The 27,750-nt window shown below is 41.3% G+C and overlaps 1 protein-coding gene across 1 annotated transcript in view, besides 1 other annotated feature; it reads left to right on the top strand.

The window, feature by feature from the left end:
- The window catches only part of SPOCK1 (SPARC (osteonectin), cwcv and kazal like domains proteoglycan 1), a 524,029-nt gene that overhangs the window by 326,798 nt on the left and 169,481 nt on the right, over window positions 1–27,750 (top strand). The window lies entirely within an intron of this gene.
- Window positions 25,866–27,065: an enhancer, noted in NCBI's record as "BRD4-independent group 4 enhancer chr5:136481153-136482352 (GRCh37/hg19 assembly coordinates)". NCBI's record gives its function as "activates an origin of replication core promoter dependent on BRD2, P300/CBP, MED14 and CDK7 cofactors, and independent of BRD4, by STARR-seq in HCT116 cells {active_cell/tissue: HCT116}" and the evidence as "EXISTENCE:reporter gene assay evidence [ECO:0000049][PMID:35650434]".

Below are 27,750 nucleotides of genomic sequence, written 5' to 3'. Positions count from 1 at the left end.
AAATAATGCACAGATGACAGTGCATGAAATATTGATGCACAGAGAGCTCATCTTCCTGCAGGGGAGAGGGGCCTCTGGATAATTGGTTTTTCTACATGGCAACTGAGATAGATTGGAAACATTGTGACTCTTTCGCTCACCATATCAAGCCCTGTCTATTAATGGAGAGATAGACCCAAGTGATTCTTGTTTTCCAAATCCTCATTATCCTGCCATCACTGAGGTATCAAAATGAATGGAGGGGCTCAGGAAAGTACTGGCGTTTTCATATAAACCAGCTTGCAGGATCAGGCACTTTCTGTGGGTTAAGCTTGAGAACCATTCTGACCATCTTTTTAAAACTTGGTAGAATCTTATTTTGTTATTTGTCTGTCTGGAAGATTTAGAAATGTTGTGAGTTGGGTGTTGAGGGCCAGGGCTGCATTGTTTGGTGGAAGGGGTTTAAATGAAATAATCGTTGACTTTCTTGAGAAAGCTATTTCACTCAAGTGAAGTATGACAACCTGCATTCAAAGGCCAGGTGCTCAGGCCATTCACTGGCCACAGAGGCAAATTGTTCATGGTGGTTTCGTATGTAAGATGAACAGGACAGGAGCAGCTGCTCTGGTACTCTCAATGGAATTTTAAGTCACAGTAACCTTTATATTGTAGGCACACATATAACATATGTTTATTAGAAAGGTACGAGGATACTGATGTTGCCCTCTCAGATATGAATGGCAATTCACACTAGCATCAGTTTCTCTTTGTAGGAATTGTTAGTTGTGGGATCTGTTCATAGGAAACGAGTTCTGCAGGTCAAAAAACGGTCATTGAATGCATACCGTGTGCCAGCGTGAGGTTTTCCTCTCTTGTCTTTATTATTATTATTTTTACTTTTGGTCATTTGTAATTTTTTTTCCCAACAACTACTTGGGTCTGAGAATAAATTGAAGATATCTACATATAAATGGTTTTTAGTTGCTTAAAACTGGTGGGTGGAATTTCCTTGATCCAGCAGACATTTACAGAGCCCACAATACCAGCTGGGTCCTGATCCTCCACATTGGTAGCGTGGCTGGCCCTTTCATGTGGTGGCTTCAAGAAGGTCGCTTCTCAGTTAAACTCAGCAAAAGTTGATCAAGTGCCAGCTCTGTATCAGGCCCATGGAAGTCAGTGGGGGCATAGATATGAGCAAGATCCCCTTTCGGTCCCCAAGGAGCTCACCATCAGGGAGAAAGATATGCAAGAGTGGCAGAGAGGACCATGTGCCTTTCCATGTGTGTAGAATTGAATATGGGTCATAGGAGGCTGTCAAGACAAGAGCGTGAGTTCAGAGGCGAGCGTGATGGGAGAAGAGCAGATTGTCAGGACACAGTCCAGTGATGAGCATGTAGTCTCGGGTGCATTGAGGATGCTTGCTGTCTCCAAAGGCTTGCTTATGTTTGAGTTCCATTGGAGGCTCTTCCCGTTCACTCCATAGGACACTGTCCCCACTGGGAACCCCTAGAACATGTGTATTTATATCCCTGCTATGGGGACAGTCTCTCACCTGGTTAACTGTGGGCATAGTCTCACAGCACAGTGATTAAGGATAAGGGCTTTGCAGTCACCCACAGGAGGCCCCAAGTCACAGCCTATGATTCTGTGCACTCAGGTGAGTCTCACAGCCTCTTTGAGCTTTAGTTTCCTTATCTTTAAAATGATAACAGTGGTAGCACCTGCATTAGTCATCTTGCGCTGCCACAACAAAATACCATATAATGAGTGGCTTAAATAACAGAAATTTATTTTCTCATAGTTCTGGAGGCTGAAAGTCTTGAGATCAGGGAGGCAGCATAATTAGCTCCTGGTGAGCGCCTCTTCCTGGCTTGCAGGCAACTTGCCTTCTTACAGTGTTTACACATGGCCTTCTGTTAGTGTCCACAGAGAGAGAGAGAGAGAGAGAGAGAGAGAGAGAGAAATAACAGGCTCATTCGTGTCTCTCCTATTCTTATAAGAGCACTGATGTGATCATGGTAGCTCTACTTCATGACGTCATCTAACCCTGATAGCCCAAAGTCCCCATCTCCAAATATCATCACATTAGGGGCCAGTGACTTCAACATACACATTTTGGGAGGGACAGAATTCAGTCCATAGCAGTACCTGCTTCATTTGGTTGCTTTTAGATAATGCTTGTGGAGTGCTTGGTCCAGTGCCTGGAACACCATAGGTACAGTCAGGCCTGTGGGTCCAAGGGTTCTGCATTCCCAATTCAACCAACCATGAATCAAAAATATTAAAAGAGAAAACAAAAATAAAAGTACAATGGTTAAAATACAAATAAAAACAATATAACAACTATTTACATGGCATTTACATTGTATCATAAGTAATTTAGAGATGATTTAAAGCAAACAGGTGGATTATGGAGGTTATATGCAAACACTACATCATTTTATTATATCAGGGACTTGACCATCTGTAGATTTTGGGATCTGCAAGGGTCCTGGAACAAATTCCTCATGGATACTGAAGGACAACATTACTCTGTGAATGTTAACTTCTGTAGTTGCATGGGTATATCTCTTTTCCCTGTAAAATTTTGAGATACTTAAGTGAGGCCTGTATTTTATTTGTGGCTTTCTGCCAGAAATGAATGCTACAGTGAAGATGTGGGTGAAAGGAGAAAGACAAGAGATTTTGGATTCAGAATTGTAGCTTTGAATCTTGGCCTGGCTGTGTCCTAGCCACATGCTCTGGGGCAGTGGTCAAAACTCTGAACCTCAGCTTTTCATATTGGTAAAATGAGAACAACACATCTTACTTCCCAGACTTCTGATGAGGACTAAATGAGATAATCCATGTGAAACCACCTGTATTTTCTGATACATAGTTGATGTTCTCTAAATGTTGGTGGGATGAGGTTTACCGGTAAAGTATTCATTGATTTGGCACAGTTAATTAACTTGTAGTCTTAACTCCTATGTTGCTCTGACTCTCCTGCCCTTGATGTGGGCATCTAGATCCAGTGGGTGTGTGTGCCTGGGCAGATAGGCATTTAGTGAAATTTCTTAAAATTAATTTTTAATTTTGTGGGTGTGTAGTAGGTATATATATTTGTTGGGTACATGAGATATTTTGATACAGGCATGCAATGTGTAATAATCACATGGGGACAAATGGGGTATCTATCATCTTAAGCACTTATCCTTTGTGTTACAATCCAATTATGCTCTTTTAGTTATTTTAAATGTACAATTAATTTTTTTGACAATAGTCACCTTTTTGCTCTAGCAAATATTAGGTCTTATTCATTCTTTCTAACATTTTTTTGTGCCTATTTACCATCCCCACTTCCCCCCAACCCCTCACAACACTTTCCAGCCTTTGGTAACCATCCTTCTATTCTCTATATCCATACATTCAATTGTTTTAATGTTTAGCTCCCACAAACAAGAACATGCAGTTTGTCTTTCTGTGCCCAGCCACTTCCCTTAACGTAATGACCATCCTTGTTGTTGCAAATGACAAGATCTCATTCCTTTTTATGGCTGAATAGTACTCCATTGTGTATATGTACCATGTTTTCTTTGTTCATTCATCTGTCGATAGACACTTAGGTTGCTTTCAAATCCTGGCTATTGTGTATAATGCTGCAATAAACATGAGAGTGCACATATCTCTTCAGTTAACTGATTTCCTCCTTTATATACCTAGAAGTAGAATTGCTGGATAATAGTGTAGCTCTATTTTTAGTTTCTTGAGGAACCTCCAAACTGTTATCCATAGTGATTGCACTAATTCACATTCCTACCAACAGTATACTAGGGTTTCCTTTTCTTCACATCCTCGCCAGCATTTATTGCCTGTCTTATGGAAAAAAGCCATCTTAACTAGAGTGAGGTGGTATCTCATTGTAGTTTTGATTTGCATTTCGCTGATGATCAGTGATGTTGAGCACCTTTTTATATACCTGCTTGCCATTTGTATAGTCTTCTTTTGAGAAATGTTTATTCAGATCTTTTGCCTATTTTTCAATCAGATTATTAGATTTTTTTCCTCTAGAGTTGTTTGACCTCCTTATATATTTTGGTTATTAATCCCTTTATCACATGGGTAGTTTGCAAATATTTTCTCCCATTCTGTGGGTTGTCTCTTCACTTTGTTGATAGTTTTCTTTGCTGTTCAGAAGCTTTTTAACTTCGTGTGATCCCATTTTTCCATTTTTGCTTTGGTTGCCTGTGCTTACTCAAGAAAGTTTTGCTCAGTCCAATGTCCTGGAGACTTTCCACCAATGTTTTCTCCTAGTAGTTTCATAGTTTGTGGTATTAGATTTAAGCCTTTAATCAATTTTGATTTGATATGGTGAGAGATAGGTGTCTAGTTTCATTCTTCTGCATATGGATATCCAGTTTTCTCAGTGCCATGTATTGAAGAGACTATCTTTTCCCCAATGTATGTCTTCTCTCTTTTTTCTTTGTCAGTCTGGCTAAAGGTTTGTCAATTTTGTTTATCTTTTCAGAAAAACCAATATTTTGTGTCATTGATCTTTTGTTTTCTTTGTTTCAATTTCATTTATTTATGCTCTGATCTTTACTATTTCTTTTCTTCTAGTAAGTTTGGGTTTGGTTTGCTCTTGCTTTTGTAATTCTTTAAGATGCATTGTTAGGTTGTTTTTTGACATTTTTCTTCTTTTTTGATATAGGCCATTAAAGCTGTAAAATTCCCTCTTAGTATTGCTTTTGCTGTATCCCATGGCTATACTCATAGGTATAGGTATGTTGCATTTCCCTTATTTGTTTCAAGAAATTTTTCAGTTTTCTTCTTAATTTCTTCACTGATCCACTGGTCATTCAGGAGCGTATTGTTTAATTTCCATGTGTTTGTATAGTTTCCAAAATTCTTGTTATTAATTTCAAGTTTTATTCCATTGTGGTCAGAGAAGATGCTTGATACTATTCCAATTTTTCTGAATGTTTCAAGTTTTGTTTTGTGACCTAACAAAAAAGGTCCATCCTTGAGAATGATCTAGGTGCTGAAAAAAATAATGTGTATTCTGCAGCCATTGGATGAAATGTTCTGTAAATATCTACTAGATTCATTTGGTCTATAGTGCAGATTAAGTCCTATGTTTTTTTTTGTTAATTTTCTGTCTGGAAGATCTGTCCAGTGCTGAAACTGGGGTGTTGAAGTCCCCAGCTATTATTGTATTGGGTCTGTCTCTTTCTTTAGATCAAATATTTACTTTATATATCTGGGTGCTCCAGTTTTGGGTGCAAATAGATTTATAATTGTTATATCCTCTTGTTGAATTGACCCTTTTAACATTATATAATGACCTTCTTGGTCTATTCTTATAGTTTTTATCTTAAAAATCTATTTCACCTAATGTAGGAATTGCTACTCCTGCTCTTTTATGGCTTCCATGGCATGAAATATCTCTTTCCATCCCTTTATTTTCAGTCTATGTGTGTCTTTATAGGTGAAGTGTGTTTCCTATAGGCAACAGATCTTTCAGTGTTTTTTTAAATCCATTCAGCCACTCTATGACTTTTCATTGGAGAGTTTAGTCCACTTACTTTCAATGTTATTATTGATAAATAAAGACTTCCTCTTGCCGTTTTGCTATTTGCCTCCTGGTTGTTTTGTGGCCAGCCTTCTTTCCCTTCTTTCCTTCCTTTCTGTCTTCCTTTAAGTGAAGGTGATTTTCTCTGGTGATATAATTTCTTGCCTTTTGTTTTTTGTGTATTCATCATATGTTTTTTATTTGAGGTTGCAATGAGGCTTGCAAGTACTATCTTATAACCCATCATTTTAAGCTGATAACAACTTACTGCTTGCATAAGCAAACAAATAAACAAAAACAAAACTAAGACTCTACACTATAACTTTGTCCCCCAGCTTTTTTTGTTTTTATTTATATCTTATTGTATTGTCTGTGTCTTGAAAAGTTGTTGTAGTTATTATTTCTGATTCATTAACCTTTTAGTCTTTCTATTTAAGATAAGTAGTTTACATACCACAGTTTCAGCACTATAATATTCTGTGTTTTTCTGTATATTTACCATTGCCAGTGAATTTTGTACCTTCAGATGGTGTCTTATTGCTCATTAATGTCTTTTTTTTTTTCTAATTGAAGTACTCCCTTTAGCATTTCTTGTAGGAAAGGTCTGGTGTTGATGAAATCCCTCAGCTTTTGTCTGTCTGGGAATGTCTTTATTTCATTTTTGTATTTGAAGGATAGTTTCACCAGATACACTTTTCTAGGGTAAAAATTTTTTCCTTCAGCTCTTTAAATATGTCATGCCATTCTCTCCTGGCCTATAAGGTTTCCACTGAAAAGTTTGCTGCCAGACACATTGGAACTCCATTGTATGTTATTTGTTTATTTTCTCTTGCTGCTTTTAGGATCATCTCTTTATCCTTGGCCTTTGGGAGTTTTATTATTAGATGTCCTGAGGTAGTCTTCTTTGGATTTAATCTGCTTGGTGTTATATAACCTTCTTGTACTTAGATATTGATATTTTTCTGTAGGTTTGGGAAGTTCTCTGTTATTATCACTTTGAATGAACTTTCTACCCCTATCTCTTTCTCTACGTCCTCTTTAAGGCCAATAACTCTTAGATGTGCCCTTTCGAGGCTATTTTTTTTAGATCTTTTATGTGAGCTTTATTGTTTTTAATTTTTTTTCTTATGTGTTTTCACTGTGTGTTTTCAAATGGCCTGCCTTCAAGCTCACTAATTCTTCTGTTTGATCAATTCTGCTATTAAAAGACTCTGATGCATTCTTTAGTATGCCAATTGCGTTTTTCAAGTCAGAATTCCTGCTTGATTCTTTTAAATTATTTCAATCTCTTTGTTAAATTTATCAGATAGAATTCTGAATTCCTTCTCTGTGTTATCCTGAATTTCTTTGAGTTTCCTTAACATTTTGAATTCTCTGTCTGAAAGGTCACATATTTCTGTTTCTCCAGGATTGGTCCCTGGTGCCTTATTTAGTTCATTTGGTAAGGTCGTGTTTTCCTGGATCATCATGATAATTGTAGATGTCCATCTGTGTCTGGGCATTGAAGAATTAGGTATTTACTGCAGTCTTTGCAGTCTGGGCTTGTTTGTGCCCATCCTTCTTGGGAAGGCTTTTCAGATATTTGCAAAGACTTGGGTGTTGTGATAAACTGTATATCCTTTAGGGGGACACCTTAAGCTCAGTCATGCTCTGGTTTTGTAGACTGATAGAAGTACCACCTTGATGGTCTTGGACAAGACCCAGAATTCTCTGGATTAGCAGGCAGAGACTCTTGGTCTCTTTCCTTGCTTTCTCCCAAACAAACAAAGTCTTTCTTTCTGTTCTGAGCCATGTGGAGGTGGGGGTGGAGTGACACAAACATCCTTGTGGCCACCACCCCTAGGACCACACTGGGTCAGATGTGAAGCCAGCACAGTACTGGTTCTTGCCCAAGGCCTACTGTAACCACTTCCTGGCTATGGCTTATGTTTGCTCAAAGTCCTGGGGCTCCCCAATCAGCAGATAGCAAAGCCAGCCAGGTCTGTGTCCTTCCCTTTAGGGTGGCGAGTTCCCCCAGGACCTGGGCAGGTCCAGAGGTGCCATCTGGGAGCCAGGGACTACAGTCAAAAACCTTAGACATTTACCTAGTGTTCTATTTTACTGCATCTGAGTTGGCAGTCAGACCACAAGGTACAGTCCTTCTCACTCTTCCCTCCCCTTTCCAAAGGTAGAACAGCCTCACCCCATTGCCACCACCATCACAGGCTCACAGGGAGTACTGCCAGGCTACCGTTGATGTTCCCTTAAGGCCTAAGGGATCTTTAGTCAGTTTGTGGTGAAGGCTGCCAGGCCTGGGACTCATCCTTCAGGGCAATGGGCTCTCCTTTGGCCCAGGGCAGGTCCAGAAATGCTGTCCAAGAGCCATGACCTGGAAGCAGGGATTCCAAGAGCTTGCTTGGTACTCTATCTCACTGTGGCCAAGTTGGTACCTAAGGTACAAAAGAAAGCCTCCCTGAGTCTCTCACTGTAGCCACCACAGCTGGGAATGTACTGGGTCTCTCCTGAAGCCAGCACATCTTAGAGCCTCACCTAAGGCCCATAGTGAGCTACCTGGCTATCACTGCTGGTGATTCAGGATCCAAGGGCTCTATATTCAGCAGGTGTTGGATCTTTCCAGGACTGGGTCCTTCCCCTCAAGACACTGGGTTTCCTTCTGTCCCATGGTGTGTCTAGAAGTGTCGTCCAAGAGCTACAGCCTGGAATTGGAGCCTCCCCACTGACCGGTGTGTGGCTGAGCTTGATGAGATTCTTGGTAGGGATAAGAAAAAAAAAAGACAAACTTAATCTGGTAGAGAAGTAATGACTTAGATCAAGTATTCACATAGAAAAATGGGTTATTTTGAATATTCTTGGTCCCATTAACAAAATTTAATCTAGTGGAGAGAATTTATGGGGCAGCAAGCAATCAGTCTTGCCTGGTAGTGCTCAAAAGTGCAAATGAACTCTTCATATACCTCTCTGCTTTCAGAGTTTAACAGCATATAAGCATTTACATTTCAAACAAGGTGGCCCTTACTCCAGTGTGTGAAATATGTGGTCTGCTAACAATTTAAATTTTTTGAGAAGCTACTTTAAACAGAAAGAAATATGAGCAATATATATAATTAAGATAGGTGTTTGTATGATATGAGATCTTATAGAGAAACTGTAGCTGTGCCTTGGTAAAGGAACAGGGAAATTGAGAGTCACATGTTGTCCTGAAGTAGCTGCCATACTGAGTGATTGATCTTAGCTCCAAAAGCTTAGAAAATCTTTGCGCGATCTAGCCTGGTCACTAAGAGAATAGGCCTTGAAGGCTGACAGACCTGAGGGTGAGTTCCGCTAACTTGGACTAATTATTTTATGTCATCAAACCCAAGTTTTTGCATCTATAAACTGGGATAATGATGTCTACTTCAAAAGATTATTATGAGGATTTAGTGAGATGGTAAGATAGCATCCTGCACATACATTTGTATCCAGGAAGTGTTGGCTGATGTTATTATTACTCTTCTTTCATTGCCTAGTAATGAACTAGTTAGTGACCTATGGAATTTTTAGAGCCTGAAGTCAAATGTCACATCATCCTAAAATATCTTGTATAAAGGTACTTAGGGAATTTGCCCACTGAGGTCTTTGAGCCCTGGAGGGTACCAGATGTATCTTAGACTTCTGTTTATCTTTGCTGCCTTTCCCTGGCAGCCACGCCACCTCTCTTGCCTATATCACTAGAAAGAGTCCTGTGGCAGCAGGGGATTTTTCTTTTCCATTTACTGCTATATTTCCAGCACCAAAACCAGTGCTTGGTATATAGTAGGTGCTAAATACATATTTGTTGTTGAATAAATTTACTGGCTTCTCACTTCCCATCTCTCTTAATTAATTTAAAGGCCAATGGTAGTTTTTGGAGCAATGTTTCCTTTTCTGTTTTCATTAGGATCAGCATGATACAGTAGGCAGAACACTGGGCTAGGGGTATGAGGCCAGAGTTCTAGTTTCAGCTCTGCAGCTAACTTGCTAAAGAACCTTGGAAAAGTCAGCCTTCCCTTTCTGCTTCTCCATTCCCAAATAGCGTCACAAGGAAATTGGTTTATGTAATTTCTTAAAGACCCTTCCAACGCTGATGTGGAATAAGTAGGCTCTCAGGAGATTCTTTAGGGACATGTCTCAGTTTCCTGTCCTCTTTTCTTATGCCTCCAACAACTGCCAGGTTCATTTATTTCCTTCTTGTCTCCCATACAGAAATCACTGTAGCCCCAGAGAAGTTTTTAAACAATAGCTTCTCCCAGCACATCTTGTGTATCTAAGCTAGAGTTTGTCGACTTTATAACTACAGACATTTGGGCCACATAATTCTTTGTTGTAGGGGAGGAAGCTGTCTTGTACATTGTAGAATGTTTAGCACCACTCTGGCCTCAACCCACTAGATACCAGTAGCATCACCCCCACCTCTGCACACAGTTGTGACAAGCAAAAATGTTTTTAGAGGTTGCTAAATGACTACCGAGGCAGGGAAAGGGAAAAATCATCTCTGATTTAGGCACACATTCTTTCATAGTCTTATTTCAGAAAGCATTATAAGGCCAGGTGCAGTGGCTCACACCTGTAATCCCAGCACTTCAGGAGGCCAAGGCAGGAGAATCACCTGAGGTCAGGAGTTCGAGACCAGCTTGGCTAACATGGTGAAACCCTGTCTCTACTAAAAATACAAAAAATTAGCCCGGCGTGGTGGTGCATGCCTGTAGCCCCAGCTAGTCGGGAGAATGAGGCAGGAGAATTGCTTGAATCCTGGAGGTGGAGGTTGCAGTGAGCCGAGATCCCACCATTGTACTCCAGCCTGGGCAATAGAGCCAAGACTCCATCTCAAGAGGAAAAAAAAAAAAAAAAAGAAAGCATTAGAGACTAGAACAAATGGGAATGGTACATTGATAAGGGGCATCTTTTACCCCTAGGGAGGGAGGAAAAGAAAGAAAGAAAAACAACTTTCTTACCAGCTTGAAAGTAAAGATATAAAGCTAGCCCAAATATTTTGCTGGGGATCTGAATTCACACTGAGATAATTCTATGCACAATATATCACCAAAGATGAGAATAGGGAGTGACAACTCTTAGATCTTACCCAGAATATGACAGCTATTGGATCTTATTCTTACGTAATGGAAATTGGATAGCTGTAGCATTGAATACTTGATGAAAAAGATACGTTTTAAAAATCTTCCATCTTGCTCACATCTTAGATACAGGCAAATCCTGGATTTTTTTTTAATACAAAAACAGTTTGGAGAGGACAACATTTTCAGTGCAGCCAGGATGTTATCAAGCATGCATTTATTATGAACTTGTTAATAACATTTCGTCAGCAAAAGTATGGTACTGGCTGCTCTGAGTGAAGTAAAAATATTTATATAAAATAGGAGCTCACAATTTTGTTACAAGTAAGACAAAAACCAGGGGAAGCATGACACAAAATATAAATCATAAAAAATGTGTAGATGAAAGCAATGATGATTTTATAGCCTAAGCAATTACTTCCGTTGGAGCCCAAAGAAACCCAAGTGTGGGGTCATGTTGGCAGGCAAGGTAGTCAGCCTTACCTGGAGAGAGAGTTTAGAGGCTCCTGGGCAACATGGGATGCCCTGAGTATAGTTTGTGTAAAGCATTAGGTTTACTGCTGCATTTCAACTGACATGTTCCATGCCCCATATCCCATATATATATATGGCCTGGAATATTTAAAGTAGAAGTGATCCCATTTTAAGAAGTCTGTATTTTCTTGCCTCATGTAACTACTTCTGATGTTGATATTCTTTGAAGTATTTTCCCACCTCCAAATTATCCATTCTCTAGGAATAGCGTATATATTATATATTAGAGATATATATACTCTAGGAATATTATATATATTATATATTAGATATATATATTATATAATATGTAATATATATTAGAGATATATAATATATTAGAGAGATATATATAAAATATATGTAATATATATATATATATATATATCTCACAGTTTCTTCATTCATTGATTGATGGGCATTTGGATTGGTTCCAAGATTTTGCTATTATGAATTGTGCCACTATAAACATGTGTGTGTGAGTATCTTTTTCGAATAATGACTTCTTTTCCTCTGGGTAGATACTCAGTAGTGGGATTGATGGATCAAATGGTAGTTACATTTTTAGCTCTTTTAGGAATCTGTACACTGTTTTCCATAGTGACTGTACTAGTTTACATTCCCACCAGCAGTGTAGAAGTGTTCCCTGTTCACTGCATCCACACCAACATCTACTGTTTTCTTGATTTTTTGATTATGGCCATATATATATAACATATATTATATATTATATATTGTATATTATATAAAATATATATTATATATTATATAAAATATATATTATATATTATATATAATATATTATATATTATATATATTATATAATATATAATATATAATATATATTATATATATTATATATTTTTATATATTATATATATATGTGTATATATATATAGCCCAGGTGTTGGCTGCATTTCAACTGACATGTTCTATGTCCCATATATATATACAACATATAATATATATATTATATTATATATATATTTCATATATTTATATATATTTATGTTTTAAATATTTTATATATTTATATATTTATATAATATAATATAATATATATAATATATATATTATGGAATACTATGCAGCCATAAAAAGGAATGAATTAACAGCATTTGCAGTGACCTGGATGAGATTGGAGACTGTTATTCTAAGTGAAGTACTCAGGAATGGAAAACCAAACATCGTATGTTCTCACTGATATGTGGGAGCTAAGCTATGAGGACACAAAGGCATAAGAATGATACAATGGACTTTGGGGACTTGGGAAGAGTGGGAAGGGCGTGAGGGATAAAAGACTACAAATATGGTGCAGTGTACACTGCTTGGGTGAAGGGTACACCAAAATCTCACAAATCCCCACTAAAGAACTTACTCATGTTACCATACACCACCAGTCCCTCAATAACTTATGGAAAAAAAGACTTATTTGCCTCCTTATGTTCACCAAGGTAAAGAAAAGATGCCAGATTTCCAATAAAATATAGACATGGATTGGCAAAAAAATTAAAGTAAAAATAAATGACTTCAAGGGACTCAAGACTTCAGTGGAGGAAGTAATTGCAGATGTGGTAGAAAGAGAAAGAGAACTAGAATTAAAAGTGGACAGTTCATAATTGCAAAGATATGGAACCAACCTAAGTGCCCATTGACCAATGAGTAGGTAAAGAAAATGTGGTATATATACACCGTAGAATACTACTCAGCCATAAAAAAAGAATAAAATTGTGCCTTTTGCAGCAATGTTGTTGGAGCTGGAGGCCATTATTCTAAGTGAAATAACTTAGGAACAGAAAACCAAATACTGCATGTTCTAACTCATAAGTGGGAGCTAAGCTATGGGTATGCAAAAGCATAAAGAGTGATATGTTGGACTTTGGAGACTCAGAAGTGGGAGGCTGGCGGGGGTGGGGCTGGTTGGTGGGGGTGAAGGATAAAAAACTACATATTGGGTACAGTGTATGCTACTCAGGTGATGGGTGTACCAAAATCCCAGAAAACGTTAGGTTTTTAAATGATCCTAATTAGCTTTACTTGGAGACTTGTGAGACAACATATACTTGACATTGTCAACTCTAAGGTATTTATTCTATGGCCTAGAATATTTAAAGTAGAAGTGATCCCATTTTAAGAAGTCTGTATTTTCTTGCCTCATGTAACTCCTTCTGATGTTCATGTTCTTTGAAGTATTTTCCCGCCTCCAAATTACCCATTCTCTAGGAATATTGTATCTCCATCAAAGAAAGGAAGAAGAAGAAAGACCTATGGGTGGGCTCTTTGTAGCTGTGTTTGCTTCCTGAGACCAGCCTCCCCTCCCTGGGCCATAGCTGATTTGGTCAAGGGGAGCATCTGATTCCTGCAGGACCAGTCAGGTATACGTGATCATTTAGACTGAGAATTTGGATTTAGGAATAAGAGCATGTCAGTCTCTTCCTGTTACTGGAGCTGGGAGCCATGGGCAGCCATATTTCCCCTGTGGAGCCTGGAGAAGCCACATGAGAAGTTGGCAATTTGCCATCTCTTTAGGAGATCCCATCCTCTGTGGACCAGGTCATTCACCTCATCCCTGTGAAGTGGATGAGGTTTGCTTGGGGGTCTTCTCACACCCCCAACCTGTCCTTTCTCCATGGTCCCTCCCTTGTTATGGTGCCCCCGAGACTCCTTCCCTTCTGTGGCACAGCCACTGCCCCCTTTCCAGCTGCACTTTGTGGAGTGTTCTGTGTAAATTTCATGACACCCATTCCAGTGATATACATAGTATTTTTCATCTCCAGGGAGCAGCTTTCTGTGGGCTGTGGTGTTGAGGAGAATCGGCTCACCCCAATCACTCAGAGCCTTCACAGTATTAAGGTTCAGTGTGATAACTTGCCCAGGTGTTGGCTGCATTTCAATTGACATGTTCCATGTCCCAAAACTGGTTTCTAACCAGAGACCCTTTTGAAGTTCTCTACAAAGTGTGAGGCTATATTGCCAAGGAGTTCTTTGGACGTTAGCAACAGAACGTGACTCAATTGTCACAGGAAGGTTATCCAAAGCTCCCAGAGCCTGCGAGAGGCTGGAAAACCCCAGGTTGGAAATGTGAAAGGACTAAGGGGAGGCCAAAAGGCTAGACAGCAGGAACCCCAGTCTAATCATTGCCAGTGTCCCCTCTGCCCTGGGGCTCCTCCTTCACATTTCAGAGTCTCTGGACAGTCACTGGGATGGAATCACCAGGATGGGGAGAGGCAGGATCAGCTGGCACATCTGTCTTTTTACTGGGGATTGGGCATTTGGGACCCCACATCACAAAAATGCCCATAAAGTTTTGTGGCAAGTTTTCTTTTTTTTGGGGGGATGGAGTCTCCCTCTTGCTGCCTAGGCTGGAGTGCAATGGCACAATCTCTGCTCACTGCAACCTCTGCCTCACAGGTTCAAGTGATTCTCCGGCCTCAGCCTCCCAAGTAAGTGGCATTGCAGGCAAGCGCCACCACACCCAGCCAATTTTTTGGTATTTTTAGTAAAGACGGGGTTTCACCATGTTAACCAGACTGGTCTTGATCTCCTGACCTCAGGTGATCTGCCTGCCTCGGTCTCCCGAAGTGCTGGGATTGCAGGTGTAAGCCACTGTGCCTGGCCCCATATGCAAGTTTTAAACCATCTAAAAACTGTTCCCAGAATCCTAGTGACCAACCTTTCATCCATAGTTTCTGCTCATTCATATCATTTCAGAGGTTAGTGCCTGGGGAATGGGATTGGGACCAAGTGATTAACAGAAAACTCTATGGAGAGAGAAACCATGTAGAAGCCTTCCTCACTTGCCAGCTTTTGGATACATGGTGCTAAAGACCCAGCCCAGCAAAAGCACTGGGAGGAAGAGGTCCCTTTCTTGCTCTGGGAGTCACCTCTGGAATCCAACAGCATTTAGACGGCACACTTAAGACTGAAAGAAAAAAGCAGGGTCCAACCTAGTAGGAGGGGGAAAATTCTCCAGGACAGAGGATTGCTAAATTAATTACTCAGATGCAAAAATTCAAAGGAAGAATAATGACACAGCCTGTTAAGCTAAAAAAGAAGTTATCATGTTGTTTGCCACACAGTGAAGTACCAGGGACTGGGAACTGCTTTTAAACTGAAGAAAACTAATCCTCCTGGAGCATTCCCATCCAAATTGTCTTGGGAGTCTTTGGAATTTGAGCAGTGTGGTTGTTTATTTTATGAAGAAAAGATGTGTTCTTATGGAGCTCTAGGTAGTGCAAACACCAGTGCCGGTGGGACCAAGTGGGCAATTCATGTAAGAGTGCAGGAGGGAGGAAGGGACCGGGGCAGCAGAGTGTAAAGGGGGAGAAGGAAATAATAACAGGATGGAGGCAGCCATGGGGGAGTGCAAGCCCAAGTGTGGCCATATCTTTCTATTAAAAATAACCTAAAAATTTATGATAGATTTTTGTGTGATATTCCTTAATTTCTTACTGCTAACACCTTATTTTAAAAGCATTATATGGGCTGGTCACCACACACCTGTGGGCTCAGTGGATCCACTCTTCATGGCCTCTGGTGCAGGAGGGCTCTGGATCCACTTATGTATGAATTCTTGCTCATCCCTTCTAGCTGTAGGTGCTTGAGCAAATTCTGGTTCTTCTCTCAACAAGTTTCTCTGTTACCTTGGCTATAGAATGAGGATGAAGGGAACACCTGGCTCATGGTTTTGCTGTACGGATTCCTTGAGGTCATATATACCAGGCACCTACCAGATACCTTTCACAGGCCTGCAATTACCTGAGCACAGGTATAGGCCCTCCCTTTTCAACATGTATATTCACCACCCCAAATGATGTAGTAGTAGGTGCTCAGCGAAACTCTCTGCATGTAGTAGGTGCTCAGTGAAGGTCACTGCTTCACACACACATGAATTATTGGTTGTCAAACTACTTCAGAGTAAACTCTATTCTCCTATTAATTTCCCTTTTGAGGTCAAAAGGTGAGGGGTTGCTATGGCGATGTGTTCTCATGAGGAATTTTGCTCCAGGATAAGAATGCGCAAACTCTGCTGAGATAGAGAGGGATGGTTTGAAGAGTTTTTGGAATTTAAGCAGTGTGGTTGTTTATTTTATTCATGACCCTTGGAAGCCAGGACAGCAGAGGCCAGCTTCACAGGGCAGACCACGTTCACATGTCACCTCATTTTTGCAGCAATACTTGGTGCAAAAGTATTATATTGCTATGGGCCCTCCCCACTCTCAGGGTTCAGAGGCACTTACCCTGCTCCCCCAGGACCTGAGGAGCCAGGAATGCACCCCAGGGGCCCCTTACATTGTGGTGCTACCCTATCTGGTGATGCTATGTGGTTTTGTCTTACTCCATCCCTTAATGCTACTGCCTGAAACAGGAGTAAACGTAGTCTGAAAAGTTTTCAACTTGCCGTTTAGAGTCAGTTGAAATCAGTGGCCTGCTTCATCAGTCCAAGTTGAAAATTCTAGATGTTGACTTGGCTTCCAATGAGAGAAACTTTTCAGGAGGGAGCAAGGCCGCCCAGTGGGTCTGCCCTCTAACAGGGCTTTGAACAGGCATCAAGGGCCTCTTGCCCTTGTTGATTGGACACAGCCCACAAAGAGACCAGACAGAGCCTTTGTTTGTCAGAGAAAGGAACATGCCAGGGAGATTTGTTGCCCATTTAAAAAACGATTGTCCATGAAATGGATACTGTTTGAATTACACAGAGACACATCTTCTCATTAGCTTTTTCAGGATCACAAAAAGCCTGATGGCTGTTTTAGTCCCAGCCAGTGGGATCTGGTGCCAAAAATCTCTGTTACACATTTGCATGGGGAAGGAGTATTTGGAGAAAGGGTATCCCCGTATTTCATCTCCTTTCTGCTGTTGATGGAGTGCCATGTATCAGTTTCCAGCGTGACCTCACTGAGTGGAGGGTGTTAAACCATCCTTTCACCTTTCCCCACACTGGCTAACTGGGCAACAATAGAGGCCAAGTGAGGTGATCAGCCTTCTGATTTCTGGAGTTGCAAGAGTAGAGTACAGGCCCATTGAGAAGGGGACTCACCAGCAGGGGACGGGGGACTGCTATGGATAGCAGGGCCATTCTGGCACCAAGGGCAGCTCACAGGAGGTCTCCTGGGAAATAGACATTAGAGGCAACACAATTTCAGGACTGTAATTTGGCTTAAAGATGACCTGGTGGAGAAATCTGGAGAGGAAAAGGGGCCCAGTTTGGGCTGCTACAACTGAAAGGAATGCTTAAAACGGATCATGTGGGAAAGAGTTGAAACTAACACTTACCGAGGACTTGCAAAGATCAATGTTAAGCATTTGACACATTGTCTCACCCAGTCCTCCTGACCACCATATCAGGGAGATGTTACCACTCCTCTTTAAAGCTCAGAGAAGCTATGTAACTTGCCCAAGGTCACACAGTGTGCAAGGAGCTGAGCTCAGATTTGGAACTGGCTGTGTCAGTTCCACAGTTCATTCTCCTTTGAATGAAGCCCACAGTTCATTCTCCTTCGGCCCTTCCTACATAATTTCTATCACACGTGTTGGTGATTTGCTTATAGGAGCAAAGACTGTGACCAGGAAGTTGGTGATCTGGTTTCTGTGCAGATTGTTCGCCTTTAGCTTTGGCACTCTGAGCAATGGTCACTTAAGAACCCTGTGTTGAAGCAGCCCCATGGGTCTGTGAGGGCATTATGATGATCATAAAGCTGAGTACAGATCTGGAGCAAGGCCAGCCCATTGGTGCTGATGAACCTCAGTTAGACTTCAACATGTTCAACAGATATCTGGAGACTAATTGCACCAAGGATGCACATGTTGATGTGAGAACCCATCATTCTAAAGATACTTCCTGGTCCTGGTCCAATAGTGTGTTCTTGGAAAAGTCATGAGATCTATTGCTATATTTTCTTTATCCATCACTCCAAGGCCATTTCCCATCCTGGGGCCCTTGCAATCCCTCTCCTGGGATTGCACTGTTCCTCAGCAGATCTTCAAAACACTGGCTCTGTCTTGTCAGATTGTGGCTTAAATGTCACCTCCTTAGAGAGGTCTTCCCTGACCACTTAATCTAGAGTGACCACCTAGGAGCTTCTCTATTATATCACTCTTTTTTTTTGAGATGGAGTTTTGCTCTTGTTGCCCAGGCTGGAGTGCAACGGCGCCATCTTGGCTCACTGCAACCTCCGCCTCCTGGGTTCAAGTGATTCTCCTGCCTCAGTCTCCTGAGTAGCTGGGATTAAAGGCATGTGCCAACATGCCTGGCTAATTTTGTATTTTTAGTAGAGATGGGGTTTCTCCATATTGGTCAGGGTGGTCTTGAACTCCCAACCTCAGATGATCTGCCCACCTCGGCCTCCCAAAGTGCTGGGATTACAGGCATGAGCCACCATGCCCGGCCTTATTATATCACTCTTAAAATGTGCTGCTTAGGTCTTATCATTATCTCATGTTTTCCCCTTACCTCTCTTCCTTATCTATTTCTTCTTTCCTCTCCCTGCCTTCTTTCTTTTCTTCTTCTTCTTCTTTTTTTGTTTTTTTGTTTTTTTGAGACAGAATCTTGCTCTGTCACCCAGGCTGGAGTGCAGTGGTGTGATCATGAGTCACTGCAGCCTTGACCTCCTGGGCTCAAGGGATCCTCCCACCTCAGCCTCCTGAGTAGCTGAGACTACAGGTGCGTGCCACCATGCCTGGCTAATTTTTTTCAAAAAATTTTGTAGAGACAGGGTTTTGCTATGTTGCCCAGGCTGGTCTTGAACTCCTGGGCTCAAGCAATCTTCCCTCTTTAGTCTCACAAGGTGCTGGGATTACAGGTATGAGCCACCGTGCCTGGCCTCTTTCTCTTCCCCTCTTTTCTTTCTTATCACATCTCTACTAGGTCATGAGTTCCTTAAGAGCTAGGACTTTCTCTGTCTTAAGCATCTCTAAATTCTCAATGGTTATAATAGTACTTGACATATAAAATGAGTTTCATAAATGTTTGTTGAATTGACAAATTGAAGTCTCCCCTACATTAAAAATGAGTGTTTTTATTCTGTGAAACAAAACAATAAAAGAAAAATGAGTGTGTTGGTCTGGAAATACTCCAGGGATTCTCACAGCTCTGAATTTTTGTGACCTGGAAATCTTAAGTTATTAGATCCATCCAGAGATGCCCCTTGCACAGAGTTTTTCAGCATTAACTGAACATGTCCTTTACAGCAGACACATGTCAGGGGACTTGGGATTCAGAAATAGTGAGCAAAACTTGGCCCCTGGCCTCACAGAGCAGGCTAGAGTAGTGGTTAAGCCCATGGACCTGGGCTCAGCAATAGTTATTGAACCCCCAAGATATTCCAGACACTGTGTTGGGTGAGAGGTGGCATGTGGCAGTGAAGAGGATAGACACTGTCTTTAGTCTCTTGGAGCTTCAACTGGATTTAGCAGACTTACAGTTACATCCCAGATTGGCTACTTACTAGTTGGATTATCTCCGGCAAATTCTAATTCTTTCTTTTGGCCTCACAGGGTGGTGTAAGAATGGAATGGTATTTTGTATTGAGCAGTGCAGTCAAGGCTCAAGAGACATGAAAGCACCTCAGATGTTTGAGGGTTTGTGGGTTGTCCGTATAAATTAAGGCAGGGTAAATATTGGATGATAAGGAGAATATTGGCAGGAAATGGGAACCACATTCTGGAAGGGAAGTTTCAAGCCAGACTGTAGAAGACAGAGTCATGAGGCTCCTTTAAAAGAAAAAAATTAGAATCCTTAAATTTAACAAAAACTAGAATGTCAACAACCCCTCCGGTGGAAAGAATTTTGCTGCCATTATAGTAACCAAAGATGACTTTCTTTCTGCTGTGTCTTACCTGTTAGGTGATCAGTATTTATTGCTATAGAACAAAAAAAGAAAGATTTTGCCCCTTGTGTTTGTTTTATGCTTGTCTTAGGAAACCCCATAGGTCCTTTTCCATTATTTATTGTTGCAACTGTCTTCCATGTGCAGTTAAGCCCTGATTTATGTTTTATATTAGCATGATAGCCCTTATCTTAGCTAATGTAAGGGAAGTAATTAGCCATTGAGTGGCACATTGGTGGAGAGATAGGTGGGAAAGAGCTGGTTGTGAGCAAGGCAGGAACTGCGAATTATTTAGCTTATTTAGATGCATTGATGAAGTATTTTAGTCATGACTGAATAGCACAGAACACACACACAAAACGTAAAAACAGCAAGAATACATAAGACTTAAGTTATACGGCACTTACCAGTTCCTATAGTGGGGGATGCAACCATTTTTCTCTCAGCTTGAGGTGGTTTCTAATAGTAGATGCCCCAAGAAACTTCAGCTCCAATCAACATTAACTTTGTCATGATGGCTTCAATGTTATCAGTTGAGGAATGAAATTTAATAACCTTGGGAACCATCCTAAAGAAGCAGAAATGAACCCGCTCTAATTGGAGAAAGAAAGGGCTTGGAAATGAATAGTCTTCAAATATCCATTTATAAACCCACAGCCAAATGTTTCTGAAAAATTAACAGTGAGAGGGATGAAAGTAGTAACAGCTTTAATTTTAATATATCTGGGGAACTGCAAATGCTTTGTAGCTCATTTAAATACCTCACCCAGTGCTTGGCACTTACAAGGCTCTCAAACAAGCTTTGAACTTTGCAGAGTCAGTTCTCTGAAAAACTCTAGGACCTTTCACCTGTGGGATTGAGATTCAAGGGAAGAGATGGTATGGAAATCTGTTTCAGGGGGCATGGGATATATTTTTGATTAGTCAGATTTAATGGGAACTGCTTTCTGGTCCTGCAAGAATAAGGAATTTGCTTATGAGAGTTCTTTGTGTGTACATTTACTGGTATTGATTTTCCATCTTATGTAACAGTACCCTGGAGAGCTTACCACTTCATTCTAGGACCCTTTAAACTTGTTCCATACTTTCAGCACTGCTCAAACTTTTCTACCAAAGAGCTCCTAATGACAAGTAAGAGCAAATACCTATTTTGAGGTTCGGGGGCAGAATCCACTGTGAGACGTACGTTCTTGAAGTCTCTTCTATACAAGTTTATATACATTTTGCATTCTATTCCATAATAGATCATTGATTACCTTAATATAAATAAGTTCTAGCCAGGCTTGGTGGCTCAAGCCTGTAATTCCAGCACTTCAGGAGACTGAGATAGGTGGACTGCTTGAGGCCAGGAGTTTGAGACCAGCCTGGGCAACATAGACAGATCCTGTCTCTACAGCAACAAAAAAAAAATTACAAAATACAAAATATAAATTTTAGATTACCTACTACCATCTGGTAAAATAGATGCTGCAGGGAGATTCAATATAGATTTGCATTCTCCTTGGCCTACCATATAGTCTGAGAAGCAAGGATTAGATTGGATTATGGGAACACAAGAGAAAGAAGTGGCCAGGCTGTGCTAGATGCATATGGTGTAGGCCTACCTGTTTCCCTTCCTTTAGTTGATTTTTAGACTTGTTGAGAGATGACCTCACCAGAGTGCTCCACTGAAGCTGTGTTCCATAGGCTGCCATACTGCAGAAGTGACCTCTTCATCTGAGGCTCTGAGAGGTGATTTGAGATCCCTGTTTCTAATCTGGGGTAGGCTTTCCCTACAGACTTTCCTGTTCAATTAACACCTGTCACTGCCAGGCTCTGTAGGAGAGGGCAGAAGACATTCATGGGCTGAGGATCAGAAAGCCCCAACCTTATACACCACACCTGCCTTGCTGAGCCCTGCCTGCCCATTTGTCCCCAACATACCCCTTGCCACCAAATTCCCTGGACTCCTTGTCTGCTTGGATCAACAATATTTGCCAGATTCTGTTTCCCTAACCAAGCTCTTCTTTTTTTCTAGCCTCTTACCAACAGTGCTTGAATGTGGGCCCTTAAGATACCTTAACAATTAAGCTCTGTGACTCTTCAATAGTGACATTTCAAAGCCCACAGAGCTTCTCCTAAAACAAAAAGAGCATGAGCGTAGGTTTGTGTACAAGGCTCTGTTGTGTGAACCTAGTGCCCAAAACTTAGGAGAGGAAGAGGATTTTCATCCTTTATTCCCAGCCCTTACTATCTGTGGGTAGAGACAAGGCAGAGTACAGCTCTACTAGAGAGGCATGAGCTACTTGTTTGTTGTAGGGTGGCTTCATCAGTGGTGTGGATGTGGTTAGTCAGCAGAAGTTTTCGGGACAAAGTGGACCCCATGCTTGATGTTGAAAAGCTTTAATGTTTCTTCTTATAGAGTTTACCATTTTGAGATTGGAAAGACTGAACAGAATTATGGCTCCAGGATCTTGTGTTTCTGAAGTGTCCAGGGTCCCTTGCCCTTGGTGGACATCCATTTTCTGTATTTTAGGAGCAAGCTAAAAAGAGCTGGTAAAAGCCATGAGGATAATAAATGAGCATGAACTGTGCGCCAGGCCCTGTGCTAGAAAACCTTCATGTGTTATCCCATCAGATCCTCACAACATCTCAGTAAAGTGGATCTGTTTGCCTGCAACTGAATCCTAAAGAGTTGAGTAACCCATCAAGATACCTCATAGGCAAGAAGTGGCAAAGCTGCCTCTCTCCTCTCAAACTTACATCTCTCCGAGCCAAATGCTTTGGGTTCTTATCTTCTAGGTACACTAAAAATTTGGCAGAAATTCTTGGAGTTGCTGAGTTTCCCAATCCTTACATGATCAACAACCATGGCTGCTGAATAATGTCAGAATAATCAGCACCAAAAGAGTTAATTCTCTGGATGTCTTTGGCCTGGGAAAAGCTCCATGTTTTTATAGAAATTTTAATTGCATTAAAGTGAAGCACAGGTACAAAAGATAGACTGTGTGAGCCACAGTGATCTTTTAAGTACACTTTTTTCCAGGAAATATTTGATTTTTACTATGCTTTTTATGCCCTCTTATTCTCTTAGGTTATAGAATTGGTTCTTTTGTATTTTGAGTAAATCTCTCTCCTTTGTTCATAAATGTCTTATGAATAATTTATGTCAATTATAATGAAATAGAACCCAAATACCTTTACTATTATAGCATTTTAATAAATTCTGGCCATTGTGATGGATGAGAAGGTGAAGACTTCTCTGTGGATGATATCTTTTTCTCTACTTAGAGGCCAGGCCATTCTCAGCTCCTGTTGCCTACACTGCCCTGTCCCATGCTGCGCTGGGCTTCATGCATCTCCCCATTAGCAGTGTGGAACATACGCACACTTCACAGAAACCCCTCACGGAAGGAACCACAGTCAGTTCACCTGGTCACTATTGTTTCTTAAGTCAGAGGGAGTTAAGTTCACAGGACAGCAGCATTGCCTTTAAAAGCAGCTCGCACTTTTGTATTCATTATAAAAGTAATACAAGCTTATTAAGATAGCCAGCAATTTGGCTTTGATTTCTGATAGCTCAATCTTTTTTTTTCACAGGAAGTCTTTTTTTATGAGGTCTTCTGGGTAACATGAATCTTGGGGAAGGTGGACAGAGGGGTGTGATACATTGCTGCTTGACACTTTAATCATCACCTTTATCCCCATCAGAAGTTATTTTCATTAGTGGCTTAGTGGCTTCAAGTATCAGCCTTGGTGTGAGACTCGCCAAGATTAAAATCCAGGCTCACTGGCTGTGTGACCACAAACAGGCTTAACATTTCTCTGTCAGTTACCAGTTGGTAAATTAAGAATGATCTGATCTCTGTATCAGTTTCTTTATTGTTGAATTAGGATAATAGTACATTATTCTATAGTTGGTCGTTGTCATTGTCTCCATGTCAGCCCCCTAATTGGGTGACAGAGTATGTAATGTTCTCCCTCCCCTTCCTTTCTATTTAATTCCCCCTTTCCTTCTACTTCCTCTTTCCACTCCCATCACACTTTCAAAGGGAAATCAATTTCTTGATGGAAATGCTGAGTGAGGGTCCTTGTCAGAGCAGCTGGGGAGCAGGGAAAATGTGAGATGATAGCTTTGAGAAGGGAGGCTTGGCTGCCCAGGCTAATAAAATTTTGTGGTTGTTGATTTTATGACACACATTTCCACAGCTGCTCTGGCAGACCCCTCTTAACGCCTTCTTTTCTAATGATCAGGACATGTAAATTACCATGTTGGGCTTATCAGTGGTTGCTCATAATGTCTTGCTTTGCATGTGAGCAGAGGGGCCAAGCAATTCCCAGACACTCTCAGTAGTGGGTAGTCCTTAACTCCTTCATCTCAGAGACACATGCCAAGATCACCCAGGGCTGGACACCTGCTCTGGACCCTGGCCATGGTCATGGCTTGTCATTGTCTCCTTGCTGCAGACAGGATATGAGATAGAGGGCAATCAGGAGAAACTGAGGGCCCTGGTCTGTGAGTGGGGCAGAGGCTGTGGCTGTCCGGAGAGGAAGGGTAGGGAAGGGAAAGGCGCTTCTTTTGGAAGAAGGCAGGTCTGGTTCTGAGTACTGGCTTTGCCATTAAGGCTTTATGGTGCTGGGAAGTTACTTTACCGTTTCAAATTGGTTTTCTCATCTTCAACTTGCCTTTTCACTTAATTTATCATAAATATCTACCTATGTTACCAAATATAGATCTACTAGTTTCTGTAAAATAGTTGCATGATGTTTAAAAAATGTATTATGTTATTAACTAAACCATTTCCCTACAGTTGGTGTTCTGGATTGAATGTTTTTATCCCCCTCAAATTCCCACGTTGAAGCTCCAATTCCTAGGATGTCTGTATTTGGAGAGGGGGCCTCTAAGAAAGTAATTAAGGTTAAAAGAGGTCCAAAGAGTGGAGCCCTGAGCTGATAGGATAAGTGTCCTATAAGAAGAGACACGAGAGAGGGCTGGCTCTCTGTCTCTCCAAGTGCTTGCATCGAGGAAAGACCATGTAAGGACGTAGCAAAAAGCTGGCTGGCTGCAAGCCAGGAAGAGGGCCCTCCTAGAACCTCACCTTACTGGCACCCTGATCTCAGACTTCTAGTCCCCAGCACTGTGAGAAAATAAATTTCTGTTGTTTAAGCCACCAGTCTGTGGTACTTTCATTATGGCTGCCCGAGCAGACTAACACAGATGGACATTCAAAGTGTTATAATTTTCCCTTATTACAGATTATTAAGATGAACATTTTTGCCTAATATGTTCACTTGCTGGGTCATAGGATGTTTCTTTTTTCCCTTTTCTCTTGTTATAATTTTTATGTATACCAAAATGTTGAGAGGATACTATAAACTGCTATACACCCATCTACCTACATTTAACAATTGTTATCATTTAAGGGCACAACCAAAAAATTGACCCCCAAAAAAGGCTGTTATCAATTTATAACCCTCTCCCCCACCTCACACACACACATACACAAATAATGTAACAGAGAAGATGCTTTTATCTTTGACACAGAAAGAAGTCCCCAGGACCTCAGTTTAAAGGGGAAAGAAAAGGTCTCTTCCCAGGAGGGCTATCTTTGGTCAGACTCATCTTTCTCTCCTCTGCCTCTTTGTCTCTGTCTGTCCTGTGTCCCTCCCCACCAATTCCCCAATCCTTAAATGCATGAGTCCAACCTTTATGCCACTCTGCTCTCTGCCCTATCCAGGCACATGTCTAATAGGCCCTTTGTTTGGCCTCGGAGAACTTGGCCAGCCCCTTGAATATGAAAGGAAAGAATTGTGAGGAGGCTTTCCAAGCTGCCATTCTTCTCTGGTTACAGCAAAAATCCTATGGGCAGAATCTTCTATTTTATATTCTGAGAGGCTCTGTCGTCAGCTGGTGAACAAGCCTCTCTGGAGACAAGGGAGGCAAGATGCATGCACGGGTTACCATGGGGACAGACAAGCTGCAATAAATGTTCCTGCTCATAGCTTGACGAGGTTTTCACAGTTTGGTGTAATTTCTTTGTCAGTCGTCCATTAAGTCACTCCTAATGAATCACTGGGAGTGTCTGCTCTTCACGTGAACCTTGGGATCGCATGACTCAGGCAGAGAGCAGTCTTAAAAGCAACAGCGAGACAACAAGGCATCTTTAACTGGTGGACTTTTTGCAAATCGAGTGGCCTCTGGCCTGAGGAAGATTCTGGAACTCACCAGAGTGGGCCAGGAGTTCAAGCTGCTGTTTTAGATTAATCTTTTGCTTACTGGTCTCAACAGGTATCTTGTGCCTCCCGGAATCCTGTGTGGCTTGGTGTTCCTGGGGAGAGGGAGGAAGGAGGTTCCTGGCAGGAGAAAAGGGGTTCTAAGAGTTGACCACTGGGCCTTTCAGCCCTGATGTCCTCTGTCATTTGGCGGACGAGAATATATGTAGTGTGTCTGTTCTTACTAAGTGCCACTTTCTACATAAAATGCATATTTAGGGTTCCCTCTTCCTGCCCCTCTCCCCCGACTTTAGTCTGGTCACAGGTTCTTGCATGCTGGGTTGAAGGCACTGTGGAACTCAAAGGCCCTGGCTCCCCAGCATGGTCCCTGTGGCTCCAAGGCCCTTCAGGACCAGGCTCAGCCTCTTCTCCAGCCTTTTTACTCACCGGCTTGCTCCAACTGCTGCCAGCCTCATGAAACACTTGAATTCCTTAAGCCTGCCACAAACTTTCTTACCCCTGGAAAGACAACTTCCTGTTATCTGGAGTGTTCTTCCTCATCCTATTATCTGGTTTAAACCTACTTTTCCATAGATGTCAGTCTGTCCAGGAAGTCTCACCTGACCCCCTGAAAGGCTGAATTAGGTACCTTACCTGTCTCACCTGTCTCCTATGTTCAACGGTGAACCCCTGGAGAGCTGGAAGAACATCTTTTTGCTCACCTCTTTGTATTCACCTTTAGCCTGCAGAAAGATTCTTCACGCTGAATGATACTCTGTAAATATTAATTGAATAAACACAAATGTGTGTGATTTCCCCCAGGTGAGGAACCCTTTGGGCCACCCCACAAAATGGAACCTTCTTCTCATCTGAGCATCTCTGAGGTGGTATCAAGCTCTGCTGTGCTAGGTGTCATGACCCTTTGCCAATTAGCCTATAGGATGTGCTCAAGAAGAGTGCAAAGGCTTGATTCAGGATTTTAAAATCAATGTAGCTAATTAAAAAATAACTCGTTGAACTGAAAAACAAGTTCAGAAACAATTAAGATAATTAAAATATCACCACCTTAATTGAGACCAAGTAGTGAGCTTAAAAATAAAATTAATCAAAAAAAGTTACATGGAACCAGTAATTAACTGGCTTTTGAATTCAATGCTTTACAGCTTAACAAATCTCTTTAAATTAATTCATTCTTGGTTTGTTCCTTGAGAAAGGTTTCTGTAAAAAGTCATTTTGAAAAAAATAATTGGATTTGTGCTGGGTGCCAGTTGACTCTTGAATAGTTCTGCATATAGGTGGGAAAGATAAAATTAACCTTTGGTGGGCGCCTGCTCTGTGCTAGGGATGCTGTCCTGTTTGGGTCCACAGGAGTCCTGCAGGTTTGGTGATAGAAGAGGTAGAGAAGACACAGGGCTTTGTCATCCTCTGGGGATGTCTGCATCCTCTCACTCCTTGTATGCGGAGAGAGATTGAAACTTGGAGCAAGTCCCCAGGAAATCAATAGCACCATGACAAGGAAACTTTGAACTCTGCTCAGGGCTGTCACGCTCAGCTGCCTCTCCTACCTTCTCACCTACAGTTTCCCCTACTTATTAAA

This window comes from Homo sapiens, chromosome 5, assembly GCF_000001405.40.
Source record: "Homo sapiens chromosome 5, GRCh38.p14 Primary Assembly".
NCBI classification, from domain to species: domain Eukaryota; kingdom Metazoa; phylum Chordata; class Mammalia; order Primates; family Hominidae; genus Homo; species Homo sapiens.
Note: the sequence above shows the minus strand (reverse complement) of the source record. Positions and strands in the feature narration are given on the sequence as shown.